Source organism: Homo sapiens, chromosome 1 (assembly GCF_000001405.40).
Source record: "Homo sapiens chromosome 1, GRCh38.p14 Primary Assembly".
Lineage (NCBI taxonomy): Eukaryota > Metazoa > Chordata > Mammalia > Primates > Hominidae > Homo > Homo sapiens.
The window spans coordinates 163,243,552-163,266,358 of record NC_000001.11 but is presented as its reverse complement, the minus strand read 5'-3'; the positions used below and the strand labels follow the sequence as shown (position 1 = coordinate 163,266,358).

Here is a 22,807-nt window from a genome sequence, read left to right as displayed (position 1 = left end):
ATCAAAAAAGAGATGATGAGGCCCGAACTAAGTAGGTAGTAGTGGAATGAATGTGGGAGTGAATATGAGACATATTAAACAGAGAACATATATAGGATTTGATGAATGAGTGAATGTGAGAGGGGATAAGTGGTAGGGAGGAGATTAGAGTGACCCTTACTTTTCTAACTTAGATGCCGGGGTCTGGGTCTTGCCATAAATTGGGGTTGTAATAAAAACAGGAGCAGATCCCTCTGAGGTTGATGGGGTGGCAGTGCTGTAGGAGATTAGTTCAACACTGAACTGTTGCTGGCCTGGATGTTGAGACTGTTGCAGCCTCCACCTGGAGTCCAGTAGGCAGTTGGGCTGATAACTCTAGGGCACAGGGACAAGTATAGGCTGAAAGTGTAATCTGCACAGGTATATTTATTTGGGGGTTGATTGAAGGCCAAGAAAACATAAAGAATAAAAATAAGTGAGTGCCAGGGATGGAGAACCTTGGAATGGCTAACTTTTAACAAGTAGGCAAGAAGATGAGAAGCCAGAAAAGGAAGTGGTTATTGAGGTAGGGAAAAATCAACCATAACAGGAACAAAAAGATGATTATGTGGAAAAGTTTTAGAGAAAGAGTGAGGATAAGTGAACTGAAACCTGAAAAGATCCTTTCAATTTGAAATGAGTCACAGTTTCCAAAGGATAATGGGAACAGAACCCTGAAGAGTGATTGAGAGGTTGAGATGCATTGACAAAAGAATACATAATCTTTTGAACAGTTGAGTTAAAGGAAGGAGAGATATAGGGGTTTAGTTAGAGAAGGTTGCAAAGTTCAAAAAGAAGATTTATTAGTATTATTACTACTATTATTATTTATAGCCTACTTGAAAGGAGTTTAAAAAGAAAAGAATAGTAAATGCAGGTTAGAAGAGGATGATAAAGGTACAAGTTGCCTTACAAGACTAGGAGAGCAGATGTAGGAAGTATGGAAATAAATTAGCATTGAAGTAAAAAGAGAAACCTCTTCCTTTGATATAGAAATGAAAATAGTGGGGATGAATATATATTTAAGTAAATGTTAAGATTGTAGGCTCAAAGTTAAGATGGTAAGGAAGTTCTTGTCTACTGGCCTTTTTTCCCCCTATGAACTTAAGGGATATGATCGTCATTGAAGTTGCAGCAGAGATGGAATAGGTATCCATCTTTACACTGAAGAGTTTACAAAGTGTAAGGAAACTATGGACTAACCTTTGTGAGACACAGAAAAGACACTGAAGCAGTGATGGTGAAAGGATTGTCAAACAGTACAGGACATACTACTGAGTTGGAGTCCACAAATTTCTAGGGGCAGTAATATACACAAGTATGTAATATGCTTTTGCAATGCTCAGCATTCCAAGTGCACAAGTGGAGAAGGCATGTGGCTGGGTTTACTATGGAGGTAAATTCACAAGGTGGATTCAGAGGGGTAAGGGTCTATGGATTTTGAAGTGCTAGTGAGAGTAGGAGATTCATCATGGATCAAGATTGGCTAGAAAAAGAAGTCATCAGGAGAGTGATGAACTGGGAGAAAATAGGAGGATTTAAAGAACTAAGTCTCAATGAGGTTAAAGAGCAGGTTGACATAGGGAAATATAATGACTCTAAGGATAGGAGATCATAATCAGATATTGAAATATTGGAATTTACCATTTCAGAGATGAGGGTACTCCAAGGTCCAGATTCAGCAATGTGTTTAAATTATTAAAGTGGAAGAAGGACTTTGAGGTCAAAAAGTTTAAGATAAGTTTGTTGGATAGTCATGCATGTGCATGATACAATCATGAATGATCTTGGCAGGAGTTGGGACAGAAATAAAAATTGAGTCACACTAGAATGCTCAAGGATGAAATGTGTGGGGTGTAGGATACAGGGGAAATAATGAACAAAAGAGCTTTTATTCAACTTAGAGTTTACAGTGTGGTATTCACAGATATGATTTCACTTAATTTTCGCAATCTATCAAGTAGATATGACTATTAGTCTAATTTTATAGATAAGGAAACTGAGATAGAATTTGGGACTTGCCAAACAAACATCACTCAAGTTAGTAAGTGACAGAGCTGGAATTCAAGCCCATATTTTCTGACTTCAGATCTCATGTTCTTTCCAGGATAACATACTATCTTAGCTGAGATGAAATCGTACCCCTTGGGGCACACATTTAGCAGAGGGTACTCTAAAGATATAATGCCTTAAACCAAACAAAACAATAATATAAATGTGAAATTTAAGACCTCTTATTAGGTAAGGGGTGCTTTCCCTGAGGCAATGATTAAAGAAAGGAATTTCCCCCAGTTTGTGCCAAAGAAAATGAAAGGCTTACATACATACATCAGTCAAAACTCCCCTCAGCTGCTCCAAGGTAAAGAGCAGAACCAACCCTCAGCCATACACCATAGGTGCTTCTTAATATTCAATTTAACTCAATTACACCTGGACAAAAATGTCAGGTGACAGGATCAGGAAATAAGGCATGGAGCATCTAGTATCCTACTTAAAAACAACATAAAAAATGGATGGTTCAGGTCTTATTGTTCATATCTCTTTCATGATTCTCATTTCCTCTCAAAGACAAAAGTACTGATAATAATTTAAACAAAATATTCCGAAAACACCAAATCTTTCTGGGAACAAGAATCTGAGAGTCCCTGCTTTAGACAACATTATGGTAATTTCTTTCTTCTGTTTGATTTAACATAACTATTAAGGCAGGAAAAAAAGATTTAATCCTCTTTCCCACTTTCCTATAATTTTTGCCACTGGAGTTCATCCATGACAAAAACAGTGAAGGAATGGGATTGGTCTTTGGGAGTTGTTGGGGCTCCTTTCCTACCCAGTAATAGTGGTTAGAATATGGCAGGTGTTAACAAATGGTAACTAAGTTATACTTAGCCTAATAATTAACTGAGGGCACTGCCCATTAGGAGAGAAAACATTCCAACAATGGGAGATTCAAATACTCAAAAAAACATTTTCAGAGAGCTTTGAAGGGGAAAAGAACCTAGTTCAAGAATCTGAAGAAGCAACACTCCTTGAATATGGACAGGGCTGAATATTTGGAAGACTCAGGAAAGGGTCCTCTCTTAGGGAAATGCCTAGTGGGCGTATTACCATGAGTTTAGATAGAGTGGGCCCATAGATGGCAAGCCAGGAGAAAATTGAAATTGCAGAAATTACAGAAGATCTTTTGTAAGATGCAAAAATGTTAAGCAAGTTACAGCTGCCCAGACTGCATGAAAAGGGTTTAAGCTATAAAGCCCAAGCAATGAAGTCCCTGAGGTTCTTTATTTCATAAGATGTGGGTTTGGCTGTGGGTAGGAAGCAGACTTAGCTGAGAGGTGAGCTTCAGTCAGATGCTGCCCTATCAGTTTATGAAATTAATTGCACCTCCATGCCCAGTAGAGAATTTACCACTACTCAAATAGATGCAGGAATCGCCAGCCCATGGAGATCCCTAGGGTCAGAAAGAACTTTGATGTGAATAACAGTAATGTAAAAAGTTTCATTAAAAAGTCAGGAAACAACAGGTGCTGGAGAGGATGTGGAGAAATAGGAACACTTTTACACTGTTGGTGGGACTGTAAACTAGTTCAACCATTGTGGAAGTCAGTGTGGCGATTCCTCAGGGATCTAGAACTAGAAATACCATTTGACCCAGCCATCCCATTACTGGGTATATACCCAAATGACTATAAATCATGCTGCTATAAAGACACATGCACACGTATGTTTATTGCGGCACTATTCACAATAGCAAAGACTTGGAACCAACCCAAATGTCCAACAATGATAGACTGGATTAAGAAAATGTGGCACATATACACCATGGAATACTATGCAGCCATAAAAAATGATGAGTTCATATCCTTTGTAGGGACATGGATGAAATTGGAAACCATCATTCTCAGTAAACTATTGCAAGAACAAAAAACCAAACACCGCATATTCTCACTCATAGGTGGGAATTGAACAATGAGATCACATGGACACAGGAAGAGGAATATCACACTCTGGGGACTGTGGTGGGGTCGGGGGAGGGGGGAGGGATAGCATTGGGAGATATACCTAATGCTAGATGACACATTAGTGGGTGCAGCGCACCAGCATGGCACATGTATACATATGTAACAAACCTGCACAATGTGCACATGTACCCTAAAACTTAGAGTATAATAAAAAAAAAAAAAAAAAAGTTTCAAAACTCAGTGTGATCAGCTCTTCTCCCAGAACATAGACTGGCTTCTCAATTCCAGTACTAACCATGTCAGCCCATTTGACTACTGCCTCCTCGCCTCTAGATTGTTACCTTCATTATGGAGTAGATTATCTGATATTGTGTGGATTGCTTTGCTCAAGAATATCATTGTCCTAGATGCCAATTTGTTACACAGGCCTAGATCATCCCACCTTGAGGAGGGAGGAGAGGTTGAAAAACTGAATGAGAAATAATTTTAAAAAAAAATAGGAATGCAAAGATTTACTAAGAGAAGAATATAATAAAATAACATTTTGAAATATTATCCTTCCCTTCCACCATGTGTTCCCATTTTCTTTACAAGCTAATAGTTCTATATAAGCCAACAGTTATCTGTGTTTGTCATTCTAGGAAAGGACAAAAAGCTTGTGAGCCTCTTGATCCTGGTTTGTTTTTCAAACCTTTCAGGAAAGAATGGAGGGGATCCAAAATGTTTGGGAAACATACAGATTGAGGAGTGAGGCGTTTCCCATTGCACACTAGAAAAATATTCCTCCAGGTTTGGGAAGGGAAAGGGTACTAGAAGGGAGTTGTTGAGAACAGAGAGTTCTGTGGACCCAAGAAAGAGAAAGACTGTCTTCCTTTTTTTCTCTGATGTAAGCCCAGGAAGGTGGTTTGAGGTCTGTGGTCGTCTCAAGAGCAGAGGATGGACCTAGTTTTCTAAATGGAGATGCTTAGACTATGTATGCAGGGAGGACAAAAGGCAGTCTTTAGGAGATGGCTGAAAAGTAGCACAAGAATTCTTGTGTCTTTATGTATGAGCAGGAAGGGGTAGAGAAAACTGCCATACCTAGAAGAGCCACTGAGAGAGGACCATGGGCATCACAGTGATGACTGGTGTGGATGGATGCATGAGGTCCAGACAGCATCCCTACTAGTCTTGGCCTATATAAGCTCCCCAACTAATCTTAGATTCAAACTGGGGAAAGAAGAGGAAGCACACAACGTTTGTACCATCCCAGCAGAATCTGAGCTTGAAATCCAGTTTAAGTCAAAATACAAAAGTTAAATTTCAATCACATCTGAATTTGAGGCCTCAGATTTATACAAGCTTAACTGCCACTGTATTGTCAACTTCATTCATTTGTATCTTGAGTTTCCAATTAGATGCACACATTGAGACCAAATGTCTTATGCATTCTTTCATTCCTGTCAGCACTTCATGGTCACACAGTCATTTAAACAGATACTTGTAGAGCACCTACAAGTTTCCAGGACTACTTAGTTTTTGAGGACACATCTTTGAACAAAACCGAGACTGTTCTTGATCTCATGGAGCTCACAGTCTAGTACAGGAAACAGGCAATAATCAAAAGAACAAATACATGACATGTTAGGTAGTGGTTAAGTGCAGTAAAAAATATGAATCAAAGCAAGTGGAATATCTAGAGTGTTCACTAATATTGTTTTTTTTTTTTCATTTTTATTTCAATAGCTTTTGAGGTACAAGTGTTTTTTTTGTTACATGAATACATTATATAGTGGTGAATTCTGAGATTTTAGTGCACCCATTACATTATGGTAATGAGTACATTATACCTAATATGCAATTTTTTATCTCTATGCTACCTCGCACCCTCCCCCTGCTGAGTCTGTAAAGTCCTTTATACCACTCTATATGACCTTGGGTTAGAGTGTGCGCTAATTTTGAATCCATGATATTTGCTCAATAAAACTGTGGAACTGAATTGACTGGAAGTCATACTCTTTAAAGCACTGGCGATAATTTCAATAAACTAAGACCATTTTCTAAAGAAAGCCAAAATAGGCAAATGAAAGAAACAAATATTTATATAGGATTAAAAAATGATGCAAACCATCCAAAGATCTCATCAATTGACTGTAAAGCAAGAGAAGCAAAAAGAAAAATCACTCGGGACCTAAATTTATTTTTATTACTTCAAATCCAAATTAATTTCAAACTCAAGGCTCATGCAGTGTTATGGCATCATGAGAAAAAAGCATAGGCTTTGAATCTGAATTCTATATCCCTGTATTACATACAACACTGGAAATGGAAATGATTTATATGGATTATCATTGCTTATGATCATAGGGGAGCATGGGGATATTTTGAATATCTAGAGGGTGCCCTCAGGGTTCTATTTTGGAATTTGCATGTGGCCCTCTTTCTCCAGCTCTTACTTCTGAACCTTGCCTTCCTGGAAGAGGATACAGTCAGTATGTTACCTCAGTACCTCAGTACCTCAGTACCTCCTTCTCCACCTGCAGTCCTCTCTAGCAACCCTCTGCCCCCACTGCCAGCCACTCCGGATTTGCTGATGCCATGTTCTTTCCTCTTTCCAACTCTTGAGACTTGCTTTTCCTAATGTCTTTTCTTCTAATCAGGCTACTCGAAGTTTCTTAATAGATTCCTAGCAAATTATGTAATACTAGTGAGTGATGAAAAACTTCTGTAGCGCCCAGAAATTATGTGATAATAACTCCTTCCAGCTTTTAGGAGTTATATATCATATGGTCCCTCCCTGTCTCCAGCTGTACTGATGTTCTTTCAACATACCTGTGGTTCCTTCCATTAAAATTGTGTACCATACTGTATTGTGAGTTGTTTATGGATCTGTCTTTCCTCAGGGACTGTGAGATCTTTAGAGACTAACACTGTGTAGCTGGGCGTGGTGGCTCACGCCTGTAATCCCAACACTTTGGGAAGCAGAGGCGGGCGGATCACGAGGTCAGGAGATCGAGACCATCCCGGCTAACACGGTGAAACCCCGTCTCTACTGAAAAAAAAAAGATAAAAAAAAAAAAATTAGCCGGGCATGGTGGCAGATGCCTGTAGTCCCAGCTACTTGGGAGGCTGAGGCAGGAGAATGGCATGAACCCGGAAGTTGGAGCTTGCAGTGAGCCGAGATCACGCCACTGCACTTCAGCCTGGCCAACAGAGTGAGACTCTGTCTTAAAAAAAAAATACTAAGACTGTGTCTTATTTTATCTTTTAACTACAAGCTTGATGTAAACTGGGAGGTCAGGTACCTTGTTTGACAAAATGAAGAAATAAACTAGCATCATCGTCATGTTATATACATGGAACACCTTGGCTCTTTGCCTAGCATTATGTTAGTAATTTTACATGTCTTAAAATATTCATTTTGGCAGGGCATGGTGGCTCACACCTGTAATCCCAGCACTTTGGGAAGCCGACATGGGAGGATCACAAGAGCTTAGGAATTCAAGACCAGCCTGCGCAACATAATGAGACCTTGTCTTTACTAAAAGTTAAAAAAAAACTAGCCAAGCATGGTGGCACACCTGTTGTCACAGCTACTAGGGAGGCTGAAGCAAGAAGATTGAGGATTGCTTGAATTTGGGTAGATCAAGGCTGCAGTGAGCTATCATTGCACCACTGCACTCCACCCTAGGCAACAGAGAGACACTGGCTCAAAAAAAAATTGTACACACACACACACACACACACACACACAGACACACTTACTTTAGCATTTTCCTCTTGAAGACAAGGGTGTGGATGTTTTGGTTAAATAACTTAAGGTGAACAGCTAATAGAAAAACTTATCAGGCCAAACCACAGGAAGCTTCAGTGGAGAGAAACTTTTTAGCAGATTTTTTTTTAGCTTTTAGCTTTCCCAAATCACATATAAATGTTTCCGCCTCTGTGTACAATACCAGTTTTGGCTTTGGGATCCTGAATGAGTTATTGTACAAAGACATAGAAGGGGAAAGGGCTTTGCCATGTTTAAGCATTTCTATTTACTCCAGATTTATATCCATATTCCATCCACCCACAAGTAAATTCTGAAAAGGGCATTGTTTTGACAAGTTGTTTCCTTGAGATGATCTGGAATACTATCTTCATTAAGCTGTGGTTTTCCCAGAAGAATGCCCTGAGAAACTAGTTGGGGTTCTTCACTAATAACATTCAAAACCATCAACTAATTCTTCTATGAACAGATTCAAACCACAAAGGTTGTAAATGGCATTGGAAGAAACCAGACCAGCTACAGACATTATTCATATTTTTTTCAATGTAGGATCAAACTTGCTTGCATCCTAGCCGTGCTGAGAGGGCCTGAGCTGGTGGGAACACAGCAGCTGGGGCCCAGCAATCCTGAGCCCTTCATCTCCTGAGGGAGCACTGTCTTTTAAGGTGCCATAGGGATCAGCTAATTAGGCCAGACTGAGGTTCTTGGGTCATGTCTGAAAGAGGAAACGACAAAATCTTCATGGGAAAATTATGCAAAAATTAAAATAGCTGGAATATACAAGTATTATCTAGCACCCTAGGGAGATTGTAAGTATAGCCTGAAAAAGAAGTAGGTGGGAGACAGAATGGAAAAAAGAAAAAAGAACTGGATTAGAAGTTTAGACCCAGCTGTGTTACAATATTCCAGTGTGTGTTGGTATCTTTGTCTAGGCCTCAGTTTCCTTCCAGGAAATGTCACTTCTAGTTACATTCTGTGAGATACTTTCTAGTGTTGAAATTCTGTGGTGCTGTTTTCAACTAAAGTCCCCTGTATTAAAAGCAAAATAGATACAAAAGAGAACATAAAACAAGATTAATTTTAAATGTGTGAAAAAAGTAGTAACATGGAAATAGAGGGAAAAATTTGGGCGTTTGATGGCAGGCTGGGAGTCTGGGGATCTCTATCCACCTTACTTCCCACCCTACATCTGAGCTTTGTATCTCAGAAAGAACAAAACTGGTGATGTTAGATCCCCAAATGAGACCCTTAAAAATCGTCTTTGACTATGAAGAACCCAAAGAGGACCCTAAAGAATCCTCTTTGGCTATGAAGTCTTTTCTGATCTCGCCCTCCCCAACCCCAGGTCCCCCTCCTGTGGGTTTTTCACTTGCCCAGATAGAAATAAGCATTCCTCCTTTTTGCTTTAAATCACCCCTAGTACATATCTCCAAAAAACCACATCTTATTCTTTAATAACTACTTCTTTAGTTGTCCTAATTAGACTAGCCTAGACAAGAATGTCAGCTCCTTGATGAAAAGGATGCTGTCTGAATCATCTTGGTGTTCTCCAGACCCATGACAGTACTAGGCCCATAATAAAACCTCAAAAAATATATGTGCTGAGTAAATGGGAAAGTGAATTATTATGATGAAAAAGAAATTTGAGCACAGATAAAAGGGAAAGGTGGTTGGCAATAGATTACCTTTCAAAACCTTTCCAAACTTGATATTGTTAAACTTTTGTTGATTCACTTAAACAAGTTGTTTTCTAAATATCGGTGTGATTTTGTGACTATGCTCTTCCTTACCCACCCTCATCACTGTGTTCTTAGACACACTTACCTCTTTCTTGCACTTACCTTTCTGCCTCTCTCTCCTCCAACACCAGGATATCAGCATTCTTTGGCTGAGTACTACATTTATCCTTCTCTTCTCTCTGTATCTATAGATTATTCCTTGTTCCCTAGTCTTAGGATGACAGGTTAGGAGAAAAGCATCTTTTAAACTGATTTCCAAATTGCCTAGGAGATGTACTTTTCTTTGTGAAGTTCCTTTTAAGCAACGGTGCTGTTGCAATTAATTATAACCCAGTTTTAATGATACTCTTCTTACTGGATGAATGCGTATCTGCCAAATGATTAATAAATCATCACAGGCGTATTCATCAGCTTCTTCCTCCTTCTTTCTCATTCCTGCTCCCCTCTACCTCCAAACACCACTGAACTTTAAGAAAAATGGTCCCTTGTAAGTTGGATTCCTAGGTATTTTATTCTCTTTGAAGCAACTGTGAATGGGAGTTCACTCATGATTTGGCTCTCTGTTTGTCTGTTATTGGTGTATAAGAATGCTTGTGATTTTTGTACATTGATTTTGTATCCTGAGACTTTGCTGAAGTTGCTTATCAGCTTAAGGAGATTTTGGGCTGAGACGATGGGGTTTTCTAGATATACAATCATGTCATCTGCAAACAGGGACAATTTGACTTCCTCTTTTCCTAATTGAATACCCTTTATTTCCTTCTCCTGCCTAACTGCCCTGACCAGAACTTCCAACACTATGTTGAATAGGAGTGGTGAGAGAGGGCATCCCTGTCTTGTACCAGTTTTCAAAGGGAATGCTTCCAGTTTTTGCCCATTGAGTATGATATTGGCTGTGGGTTTGTCATAGATAGCTCTTATTATTTTGAGATACATCCCATCAATACCTAATTTATTGAGAGTTTTTAGCATGAAGGGTTGTTGAATTTTGTCAAAGGCCTTTTCTGCATCTATTGAGATATCATGTGGTTTTTGTCTTTGGTTCTGTTTATATGCTGGATTACATTTATTGATTTGCATATATTGAACCAGCCTTGCATCCCAGGGATGAAGCCCACTTGATCATGGTGGATAAGCTTTTTGATGTGCTGCTGGATTCGGTTTGCCAGTATTTTACTGAGGATTTTTGCATCAATGTTCATCAAGGATATTGGTCTAAAATTCTCTTTTTTGGTTGTGTCTCTGCCCGGCTTTGGTATCAGGATGATGCTGGCCTCATAAAATGAGTTAGGGAGGATTCCCTCTTTTTCTATTGATTGGAATAGTTTCAGAAGGAATGGTACCAGTTCCTCCTTGTACCTCTGGTAGAATTCAGCTGTGAATCCATCTGGTCCTGGACTCTTTTTGGTTGGTAAGCTATTGATTATTGCCACTATTTCAGAGCCTGTTATTGGTATATTCAGAGAGTCAACTTCTTCCTGGTTTAGTCTTGGGAGGATGTATGTGTCGAGGAATTTACCCATTTCTTCTAGATTTTCTCAAGGAGAACTGCAAACCACTGATCAACGAAATAAAAGAGGATACAAACAAATGGAAGAACATTCCATGCTCATGGGTAGAAAGAATCAATATCATGAAAATGGCCATACTGCCCAAGGTAATTTATAGATTCAATGCCATCCCCATCAAGCTACCAATGACTTTCTTCACAGAATTGGAAAAAACTACTTTAAAGTTCATATGGAACCAAAAAAGAGCCCACATCGCCAAGTCAATCCTAAGCTAAAAGAACAAAGCTGGAGGCATCATGCTACCTGACTTCAAACTATACTACAAGGCTACAGTAACCAAAACAGCATGGTACTGGTACCAAAACAGAGATATAGATCAATGGAACAGAACAGAGCCCACAGAAATAACGCCGCATATCTACAACTATCTGATCTTTGACAAACCTGAGAAAAACAAGCAATGGGGAAAGGATTCCCTATTTAATAAATGGTGCTGGGAAAACTGGCTAGCCATATGTAGAAAGCTGAAACTGGATCCCTTCCTTACACCTTATACAAAAATTAATTCAAGATGGATTAAAGACTTAAACGTTAGACCTAAAACCATAAAAACCCTAGAAGAAAACCTAGGCATTACCATTCAGGACATAGGCATGGGCCAGGACTTCATGTCTAAAACACCAAAAGCAATGGCAACAAAAGCCAAAATTGACAAATGGGATCTAATTAAACTAAAGTTCTTCTGCACAGCAAAAGAAACTACCATCAGAGTGAACAGGCAACCTACAAAATGGGAGAAAATTTTCACAACCTACTCAACTGACAAACGGCTAATATCCAGAATCTACAATGAACTCCAACAAATTTACAAGAAAAAAACAACCCCATCAAAAAGTGGGCGAAGGACATAAACAGACACTTCTCAAAAGAAGACATTTATGCAGCCAAAAAACACATGAAAAAATGCTCACCATCTCTGGCCATCAGAGAAATGCAAATCAAAACCACAATGAGATACCATCTCACACCAGTTAGAATGGCAATCATTAAAAAGTCAGGAAAGAACAGGTGCTGGAGAGGATGTGGAGAAATAGGAACACTTTTACACTGTTGGTGGGACTGTAAACTAGTTCAACCATTGTGGAAGTCAGTGTGGCGATTCCTCAGGGATCTAGAACTAGAAATACCATTTGACCCAGCCATCCCATTACTGGGTATATACCCAAAGGACTATAAATCATGCTGCTATAAAGACACATGCACACATATGTTTATTGTGGCACTATTCACAATAGCAAAGACTTGGAACCAACTCAAATGTCCAGCAATGATAGACTGGATTAAGAAAATGTGGCACATATACACCATGGAATACTATGCAGCCATAAAAAATGATGAGTTCATGTGCTTTGTAGGGACATGGATGAAATTGGAAATCATCATTCTCAGTAAACTATCGCAAGAACAAAAAACTAATCACTGCATATTCTCACTCATAGGTAGGAACTGAACAATGAGAACACATGGACACAGGAAGGGGAACATCACAGTCTGGGGACAGTTGTGGGGTGTGGGGAGGGGGGAGGGATAGCTTTAGGAGATATACCTAATGCTAAATGACGAGTTAATGGGTGCAGCACACCAACATGGCACATGTATACATATGTAACTAACCTGCACATTGTGCACATGTACCCTAAAACTTAAAGTATAATAATAATAAAATTAAAAAATAAATAAATAAATAAATAAAAAGAAAAATGGTCTTGGCCAGGTGCGGTGGCTCACGCCTGTAATCCCAGAACTTTGGCAGGCCGAGGTGGGTGGATTGCCAGAGGTCAGGGGTTCAAGACCAGGCTGCCCAACATGGCAAAAACTTATCTCTACTAAAAAAAAAAAAAAAAAGTTGGGCATGGTGGCGTGTACCTGTAATCCCAACTACATGGGAGGCTGAGGCAGGAAAATTGGTTGAAGCTGGGAGGCGGAGGGTGCAGTGAGCTGAGATCGTGCCACTTCTCTGAAGCCTGGGCAACAGAGTGAGACTCTGTCTCAAGAAAAATGGCCTTATCTGTCTTAGTTTATTTCTGATCATGATCACTGATTTTCAGTTTTGATTGAGATCAGAAAGAAAATGATGAGAGAACTGGTATGTAGATTTCAGAGTACTCGGACACAGGAAACCTGGAGCAGTGGAGGACTGCTTCAACACTTTGATTCTAGAAAAAGCAGAAAACACCTTGTGTTTTTATTAGGAAGATGTTGCAAAAAATTTGTTCATCCTAGTGAAATTTTAGGGATCACTTAAACACACCCAGTGCTCAAATCATACCTATTGTTTAGTGTTCCCAATCAGTATCCTGCAACACTTTCATCACAGATGAGATTCCCATCTGCAACTGGATAGAATACTGATATGAGTTAGAATTACAGGATGTTAAATGTGCTACAGATTCTTCATTTTTACAGATGATGAAATTCGGGCTCAGAATAGAGTGGCCTATCCAAAGTTACACAAACAATTAATGGTAAATCCAAGGCTAGAATCCATGTCTAGTGGCCATCTGTTAGCAATATAATGGCATTTTCCAACCAACTCCCATAAAGACGAAAATTCCCACCCTTAAAATCACTTCTTATTTGTTTTACATTTGTCCCCAGAAAGCCCCAAGCAAAGTACCAATATGCAAGTCAGGAGAATGGTGCATTCTTATAGCATTCATTGCCATAAATTTTGTTCTTAGAGAAGTTTCTGATCCTTAGTAGAAAGTAGAACTCTGAGAGAATTGAGAACACTTGATGTTGGGAGTAAAAGTCAAGAACTTTCTAGAACATTTTCAAGTATGTGTTTTTCAGAACACTTGTGATCTATAACATGTGAATTATGGACCAAAAAAAGAGATAATCTTGGTCAAATCAACTGAGAAACGTCGAAATGTAGTTAAATTAATTTTTTAAAGACTTTTGCTCCACAAAAGACCCTGTAAAGAGGATGAAAGAACAAGATCAGATGGAGAAAATCTTTGCAAACCAAATACCTAACAAAAGACTTTTATGTAGAATATATAAAGAACTCTTCAAAATTCAACAGTAAAATTTGGAAAATGGGCAAAAGACAAGAAAGGCATTACATCAAGAATATATGAATGCAAAATTATTAATGATGTTCAACATGCCCACTAGAATGGCTATAATCAGAGAGACATGCAATACCAAGTGTTGGGAAGGATGTGGAGAAACTAGATCTTTCATACATTGCTCATGGGACTGCAAAATGGTACAGCTACTCTGGAAAATAATTTGGCAGTTACTTAGTAAACTAAATATATATTTAAGATACAACCCAGCAATCATGTTCCTGGGTGTTAATCTCAGAAAAATGAAAACATACATCCACAAAAATACATGTATATGAATATTCATAGAAGCTTCATTTGTAATAGCCAAGAATTGGAAACAACTCAAATGCCTTTCAATGAATGAATGTTTAAATAAATGGTGGTATATACATAGCACAGAAAATGAGTCAACAATCGATACATGTAGCAACATGGATGGATCTCAAAGGAATTATGCTGAGTGAAAGTAAGTCAATCTCAAAAGACTATACATGATTGTATGTATGATTCCATTTATATAACATTCTCAAAGCGACAAAATTATAGAGCTAGGGATAGTGGTTGCTGAAGACCAAGGACACAGCTCCGTATAACTACAGGAGTAGCACAATATGTAGGTTGGAGTTATAAATCTGGGAATCATCAGCATACAGATAGCATTTAAAGCCATAAGATTGAATGAGATCACTTTGGGATAAGTGAAGATAGAAACGATAGAAAAGATGAGAAGTCCAAGGACCAAACCCTGGGTTCTGATACATTAAGAATCCACAAGAAAAGGAGGGATCAGCATAAGTTATTAAAAGACATGGCCAGAGACTGTTAGAGTGGTGGGATTGGGGTTGATTTTTCTCTTTTCTTTACATTTTCTTCACTGTGGCTTTATTACTTTAAAAAATTTTAAAAAGGTCTAAATATATCTTCTCTTCTTTGATGTGTTTGTAAACTCCTTGAAGACAGAGCAAATCTATGTCTTGATTTGGGATTGTTTATATACTTCCACTCCACTGAGAAACCAATATTCTTCACAGAGAAAAAGATTGTTAATTTAAGGAATACATTAGCTAAGGCATTCAGTAGGCATGACAGAGGATCGAGTTCATCTCGTATAGGTTTGCATTGTCTTACATAAATGTAACCTGAGGAAAAAAGAAAAATTATAAAATGTATTACTAGATAACCTTCGGGGTTGAATTTTCCCTCTTCCAGATTCTAAGCTTCATAAGGTCAGGAACATTATCCAGTTCTTTGCACAGTGCTTTCCATTTAGTAAGGTTCCATAAAATTTGAAACATGTATGTCTGCTAAAATCCTCCAAAACCCAAATGCTACATTTAGGAAAAACTATTTTTCCAATAACTGAGCTCTGTGCAGAACTTGCTTATAATTTTTATATGTTCAAATTTTTTCCCTTTTATGGATGGAGTTTTATAGATCATAAATTCCAACTGCTCAGACAACCCTAGAAGTTATTTATTCTTACCCTCTCTACCAATCCTCTTATGTTGAATTACTGACTCAACAGAGCTTAGCTGAAACTGGCACTTTTCTAACACTAATAATATTTTCTATTTTTTCGGGGTCTTTCTGCCAAGAGCTTAAAAAAGTAGTGAGGTAAGCAGTAAAAGGCATTTCCTCTCTGAAGGCCAAATCTTGAAAGTTCACATCAAGATTTGCATCAGCCAATATAAGACTTTCTCCATTCCCACCATACCTGACTGTAGTAGCTTTTCTTTAGCAGAGGTTTAGGGAATGTGGGTTCTGTTTGCAGACAAATCATTTAATCTCAAAGCTGTAATGACTCAATTATAATGCCATAATCACCACATCACCTTCACGTCTCATAATTTTGCTGTGGGAACATTTGAGACAATATTCATAATTGGGTTCAAGATATATTGATGGTTAAAGGCAACTGCCCTAAATACAGATGTTCTTTACATATTTGTCTTTGGCTCTTTTTTTCTTTGCACTCATTTATGATAATTGCAGTGATTGCTTCCAAAAGATTAAATCTGCTACTTGTATCCCCAGTCTTCCTCTCTCTCTAATGCTCAGTTCTGGATAATCAGTAAGTAGCTCTGTACCAACATAGCCTAGGCCATGTTTTAAGAAAAGCTTAGGGCCCAACTGGAGAACCCAATGGTCATCTTCGGGGCCTTGTGTCCTGAGTCAGCCCAGATTCATTAGGTGGTATTAAGTTAAATGAATTAGCTGAGTACTTCCAGCCTCAAGCCCATATTAGTCTAAGAACTGTGGCAGTGATGTACCTAACAACAGGAATACCACGTACTGAGCTAGGGCAGCTGAGAGAAGGCAGAGAAAGATAAATAGATGAGAATCATAACTAGCAATAATTTTAGTGCTTTATGATGTGAACTCATCTATCACCAAAAGCTTGCATTGCAATTACCATCTTCCCCATTTTATCTTATTTTATTTTACTTTATTTTATTTTATTGATTTATTTTGAGATGGAGTCTTGCTCTGTTGCTCAGGTTGGAGTGCGGTGGCGTGATCTCAGCTCACTGCAACCTCTGCCTCCTGGTTTCAAGCGATTCTCCTGCCTCAGCCTCCCAAGTAGCTGGGACTACAGGCGCCTGCCACAATGCCCGGCTAATTTTTGTATTTTTAGTAGAGACAGGGTTTCGCCATGCTGGCCACGCTGGTCTCCAACTCCTGACCTCAGGTGATCCGCTCGCCTTGGCCTCCCAAAGTGCTGGGATTATAGGCGTGAGCCACAGCGCCCGACCTTCCTCATTTTATTAAAAAGGAAATAGCAGCATGGAAAGAGTGGGTGATTTTCTCAAAGAAATATTAACGGTTTGGCAAAAGGTTGGAGTCACAGTTTAATCTTCTAAAAGACAGGTCATCTTTCATGTTGTGAAAAACATAAATGAAAAGAATGATAACCAACATACTAATTAAGAGACTATTGGTATAGTGCAGGTGGGAAGATGATGGAGACTTAAACTAAAAGCTTCTATATGGAAGAACTTATTCTTTCTTCCTTACATTTCCATAAAGGAAATGTATTGTACTCCTCATAGAGAAGATAATATTGAAGTGAATACTTCCAGTTTCTCCATCTACACCTATATTTATTCCAGCTCAGGGAGCAGAGGTAGATGACTTGAAATTTGAGCACCTCATGCCCTATAGGGTAACTTCACTTAAAGAATGTTTATTCAGTTGAATGGCAATATGAGCACATTTCTCTTGTAGCTTTTTGTGTTTTCTGCCCTGGGTTTTATAAGAAGGAACAGGGCTTTTTCACCTCTTCCTCCCATTATGAAGCAGGCAGAGGGGCAGTTGTTCTCCCACTTGGTTGAGGTGGGCTATTCTTCAGCTTCCTCCTCGACATTTGGGTGAGTAAATTGGGCTCAAATGTTCCCACCCATTGGTGCCAATGTCCACATTTAGGGTGAGGTATAAAGATGGTCATAGGTCAACTCCAATCACAATCTCAAATCCAGCTTCACCAAGAAGCTTTGTATTTTGTTTTACTGAACAGCCATCAATAAAGCTGACTCTTTCTTCCTTTTATCTTTCTAGACCTATTAGAGTGCTAAGGAGAAGACAAGTTATTAGCACCCAAAAGAAGCACCAGTGCGGATGGAAATACAAGGTTGACATTCGCTGAGCTGTGTTTTTTTTTTCCAGGGAAATGGTTATTCTTGATATTTTGAGCAAACTCTTCTTCTCTGATCAGTGCCCAGAACAAGGAAACAGGTTAGTCTCTCTGAGCCTTAGATTCCTGATCTGTAAAATAAAGATTAAGGATAGTTCATTTTAAACAAGGGTAATGCTATTTTCTACCCCTTAGGCTTATAAGAGGATATGTACAGAGCCTGGTGAGTTTTATATCATCTCATCTTGAAGGCAATCAAAACTCCTTCTGGGCCTCCATGACACCCTGATGGAGTGTCAGCAGTTATTAAAGTAAAAGAGCAAAGATAAACAACAGGAGTCTTTGATCCCAGGGCCTGGTAATCAGTCCATTAAAAAAATAGAGGATGAGATCCAGTTATGCTCTCTAACCCTATTAAAACCTAGGCAGATCTGACTCTGCATGTTTCCTGGGCCTGCTGGCTTTACCAGATCTAATAAAGAAAGTGGTTTTATCTTTGCTCTTACTAACACTGTCACTCTCTGTACTAAGGGTGGTAATAAGGGTGAGAAGAGAGTGGGATCTGGAAAGCTGAGCACCAGCTGTTCTAACTACATATTTATGAGATACCCTTTGTGTCTAATGTTTCTTTTCCACGGGAGAAACAGAGTCAAGGCCCATAAAGATTGATTATATGCTCAAAGTTACAGAGCAAGTTGGAGTAGGAAAAACTAAGAAAATGTGTTAATTGATTGAAAGAACATTCATTGATCATCCGCCATGGGCCAACGTTATGCTAGGCTGTAAGAGTAGGATTAAAAATATGAATAAATATGAGTCCTTTCTCATCCCTTAGGAGCAATAAAATATTGGTGGCTCTATGAGAGAACATTGTAAAAGATACAACAAAATCACTGAGGGGGAAGTGCCCATTTTTCTAGAAGAAAAGGTTCAGAATATCACTATCAAAAAGTTATATGTAATATAAATTATATATCAAAAAGGTTATATATAAAACCTATACCTATCCTATATATGTCATACGTATACATATATATATATATATATAAATCAACTTCTATCCAGTTCAATTGCAATGTAATTTCCATAACTAAAGTGGTACATATAGGTGATTTAAAAATGTTTTTAGTAGAGTTAAATGCAATTTAGCTGGATTTGTTTGCCTGATAGTGAATCTTAATAGTTGCTGATTACATATTATATTGATCTAAATTAGCAGGTTACCCCTGTCACAGATAATACGGTTAGAAACATACAGCCTAAGAATGGCACCATATCTCCGTGCTGAGAAAAACCTTGAAAGCTCAACAATTCATTTGACTAGAACAAAACTCACATTTTCTTATCAGTTATTTTCTTATAATTATTCAGGTGATTATTTTCTTTCCAGCTTTTATTTTAGGTTTAGGGGGAACATGTGCAGATTTGTTACGTGGATAAATTGTGTGTTGCTGGAGTTTGGTATACAGATTATTTTGTCACCTAGGTAATGAGAGTACAATCCAATAGGTTGGCTTTCAATCTTCACCCTTCTCCCACCTTTCACCCTCTAGTAGGCCCTGGTGTCTATTATTCCCTTCTTTGTGTCCATGTGTACTTAATGTTTAGCTCTCGCTTATAAGTGAGAACATGCAGTATTTGGCTTTCTGTTCCTGCATTAATTGACTTAGGGTAATGGCCCCCAGCTGCATCCATGTTGCTGCAAACGACATGATTTCATTCTTTTTATGGCTATATAGTACTCCATAGTGTATATGTACCACATTTCTTTATCTGGTCCACTGTTGATGAGAATCTAGATTGATTCCATGCAGATGACTATTTTATGATATTGGAATGACTTTTTAATTTTTGGAAAGTTTATCATTCCAATAAATTCCAGAGGAATCAGCAGGTAAATCTAGACTCATCATAGATTGCTCGCAGACACAAGTGGGTTTTGTAACAATATATCACTGTAAGAACTGTTCTTCCCAATGATTAGAGTTGTAGTAAAGTGCTTGGGTATTGTTTTGTTTTTTGTTTTGTTTTGTTTTGTTTTTGTTTTGTTTTTTGTTTTTCAGACAGAGTTTCACTGTGTCGCCCAGGCTGGAGTGCAGTGGCACAATCTAGGCTCACTGCAACCTCCACCTCCTGGGTTCAAGCGATTCTCCTGCCTCAGAGTCCTGAGTAGCTGGGACTACAGGTGCACGCCACTGTGCCCAGCTAATTTTTTGTATTTTTTAGTAGAGATGGGGTTTCACCATATTGGCCAGGCTGATCTCAAACTCCTGACCTCGTGATCCGCCCGCCTCAGCCTCCCAAAGTGCTGGGATTACAGGCGTGAGGCACCACGCCTGGCCCTGTGCTTGGCTATTCTTTTTTATTGTTATTATTTTTATTTATTTAATTAATTAATTTTTTTTTTTTTAAGATGGAGTCTCGCTCTGTCGCCCAGGCTGGAGTGCAGTGGCGCGATCTTGGCTCACTGCAAGCTCCGCCTCCTGGGTTTACTTACGCCATTCTCCTGCCTCAGCCTCCCGAGTAGCTGGGACTGCAGGTGCCCGCCACCACGCCTGGCTAATTTTTTGTATTTTTTTAGTAGAGACGGGGTTTCACTGTGTTAGCCAGGATGGTCTCGATCTCCTGACCTCGTGATCCGCCCGCCTTGGCCTCCCAAAATGCTGGGATTACAGGCGTGAGCCACAGCCCCCGGACTGGTATTCTTTCTCACAAATGGCTGCTTGTTTTTAATTGATGGCCAACTTGAAGGCATAATCTGAGTGATGTATCTGAAGAAGATTATTATACCTCAACTTTACAGAAACGAGTTTATTTTTAAGCTACTATATATTGAGCACACACAATGGATCAAGTGCCATTTTAGATGCTTTTTGTATATTGTCATAGGTAATCCTCATAAACCTTTGAAAATGGTATTATTATACCCATTTTACAGATGCATAATCAGGAATTCAAAGAGGTAAAATAATACATCTAAATTTACACAGGTACTAAGTGGTAAAACTAGGATTTGCTTTTGCATTCTCAACTGTGATAAAATAATCACTATGCCAGGCATTTCAGATGATGAGGCGATACAAAAACCTTGGTTCCTGATTTTTAAGATCTTATGATATGCTTGGAGAATCAGATATTTATGAAAGCAAAATGATGTCAATGCTAAAGTTTTAGAAGCAAAATCTTATAGCAATATTTACAAAGAAAAAATATAGATAGGTTTCTTGGAGTTCTGTGAAACTTCAAAAGAAAATGTTTTCAACAAGTTGTCATGGGGAAAAGATAATTCTGGGCAAGTGTTCTTGTACAAGTATGTGAGCTTTGCTCAGATGTCCATGGGTAGGTGGCTGAATAGAGTTCATGGTGTAGTACATGAGGGATATAGGAGAGGATTAAGCTGGAAAAGTAGAAGTGAGTGAAAAGAGCAAGACGATAGACTACCCATCCTGCAACACACACAAAAGAAAGAATTTTAAAGCTATGAATATTCTGGTGTATTTCAGGATTTCTTAGTGGGAAAAAATCTTTTTCATTGTTGTTTGACGAAATTTACTCAGCAGACTATATTCAATAATGTGACCTAAGGTTTTATTTCTCAGACCTTCTCTTTCCAGTACCTCCTATCTATCTAGATAATACGGAAGCCAGGGAGAAGAATGGGAACCCAAGATCTATGAGCCCTTATGGCATATGAAAAGTGGGTGTTATCTGAAAAGTAGAACTCTAGATGAAACCAGGCCTTTCCCAACAATGGAGCCCAGGACAATGCTGTCTTCAATGTCCATACCATTAGACTTGTTATAGATGAGTTTCTATAATGATGGCTTTCTGGTTAATTAAACCTTCTGAATGATTCTGTGTAACACTGACTTCTGTGATTCATCACAGAACAAGTCTTCCTTCTTTCATGGAGTATTACTGTTTTCAGTGACTATATTTGGTTGTTTACTCTTTTTGGCACCAATCACCCAGTGAATCAACAACCAGAGTTGCAAACAAATTACCCTCATTGTCTTTTCCGAGTCCCTTAATTTACTTTATTTTTCATTTGTTGCAAATGTCATTGTTTCTGCTAATGTTGTTTTTTAACATCTGCCAAGATAAAAAATAAAAAAATCACTTGTAATCCTTGTAGCTTGTTTTCTTCACGAGTCATAGAAGCTATTGTAAGATAAACTTCAAGCAGTTGGGAACAATATGTTTGATAAACTTTGCTGGGTTAAATGCTTTGGAGATCATTCCTGAGCAGGAGTAGCATAATGCATTAATAAGTATATAGTGAAACTTCAGGAGAGATGGAAAGTGTTTACTCATTGAAGTAATTTCTGGGAAAGCAACTTGGAACAGACTTTAGAGGATTCTGTGTTCTGTTTCTGGGTCTTCTTTTGTTAAAATGGCAAAATTATAGCTTTGGAGATGATAGGCTTTATCTTCTTCTCTCTGTAGACCTCAAGCTGTTTCCAGTTAATGCTATTACCAAATTACTCATTGACTTGAAGTACATCTCAAATTGACAACAATAGTGAAAAAGGCAATAGTAGAAATGTTAGCTCTCAGCTATTGTGTGCATACAATAGGTGAGAACTATACTAAATCCTTCTCATAGGTTATTACATTTAATGTTTAACAAAACTTAAAAGTAAACATTTTAACTCCATTTTATATTAGAGTTTAATTATCTTAAGCAAAGTTACACAGTGAAGGAGCCAGTCTTTTGTTTGATTCTAAGGCCCATGTCCTTAACCAATACAATATTCTATCTCTCAGATTCACTGAGTCTTTGCCAAACCAATGTGTGTATGTGTGTGTGTGTGTGTTGTGTGAATGTGTGTAAATGCCTCCTCCTTCTTTTTTTTTTTTAATGTTACTTTAATTTCTGGGATACATATGCTGAATGTGCAGGTTTGTTACAAAGGTAAACCTGTGCCATGGTGGTTTGCTGCACCTATCAACCTGTCATCTAGGTTTTTTTTTTTTTTTTTTTTTTGAGACGGAGTCTTGCTCTGTCGCCCAGGCTGGGGTGCAGTGGCGCCATCTCTGGCTGCAAGCTCCGCCTCCCGGGTTCACGCCATTCTCCTG

The 22,807-nt window shown here is 38.5% G+C and overlaps 1 protein-coding gene and 1 long non-coding RNA gene across 14 annotated transcripts in view; both read left to right on the top strand.

Moving 5' to 3' along the window:
* LOC127814295 (uncharacterized) overlaps positions 1 to 21,854 on the top strand; it is a 77,231-nt gene extending 55,377 nt beyond the window's left edge. For 3 of the 5 annotated variants that reach the window (NR_182651.1, NR_182653.1, NR_182652.1), the window contains one exon: positions 17,653 to 21,854. This is a non-coding gene — a long non-coding RNA (uncharacterized LOC127814295). The remainder of the gene's footprint in view (positions 1 to 17,652) is intronic. The other 2 variants (NR_182654.1, NR_182650.1) reach the window with 1 other exon arrangement.
* Positions 1 to 22,807, top strand: part of RGS5 (regulator of G protein signaling 5) — a 179,437-nt gene that overhangs the window by 55,377 nt on the left and 101,253 nt on the right. For 4 of the 9 annotated variants that reach the window (NM_001414472.1, NM_001414474.1, NM_001414475.1 and 1 more), the window contains one exon: positions 17,761 to 17,829. The exons of the other annotated variants lie outside the window; for them this stretch is intronic. In NM_001414472.1, coding sequence (NP_001401401.1) covers positions 17,765 to 17,829 — 65 coding nt within the window. In that variant the 5' untranslated portion in view covers positions 17,761 to 17,764. The remainder of the gene's footprint in view (positions 1 to 17,760; positions 17,830 to 22,807) is intronic. 9 annotated transcript variants of the gene reach the window in all.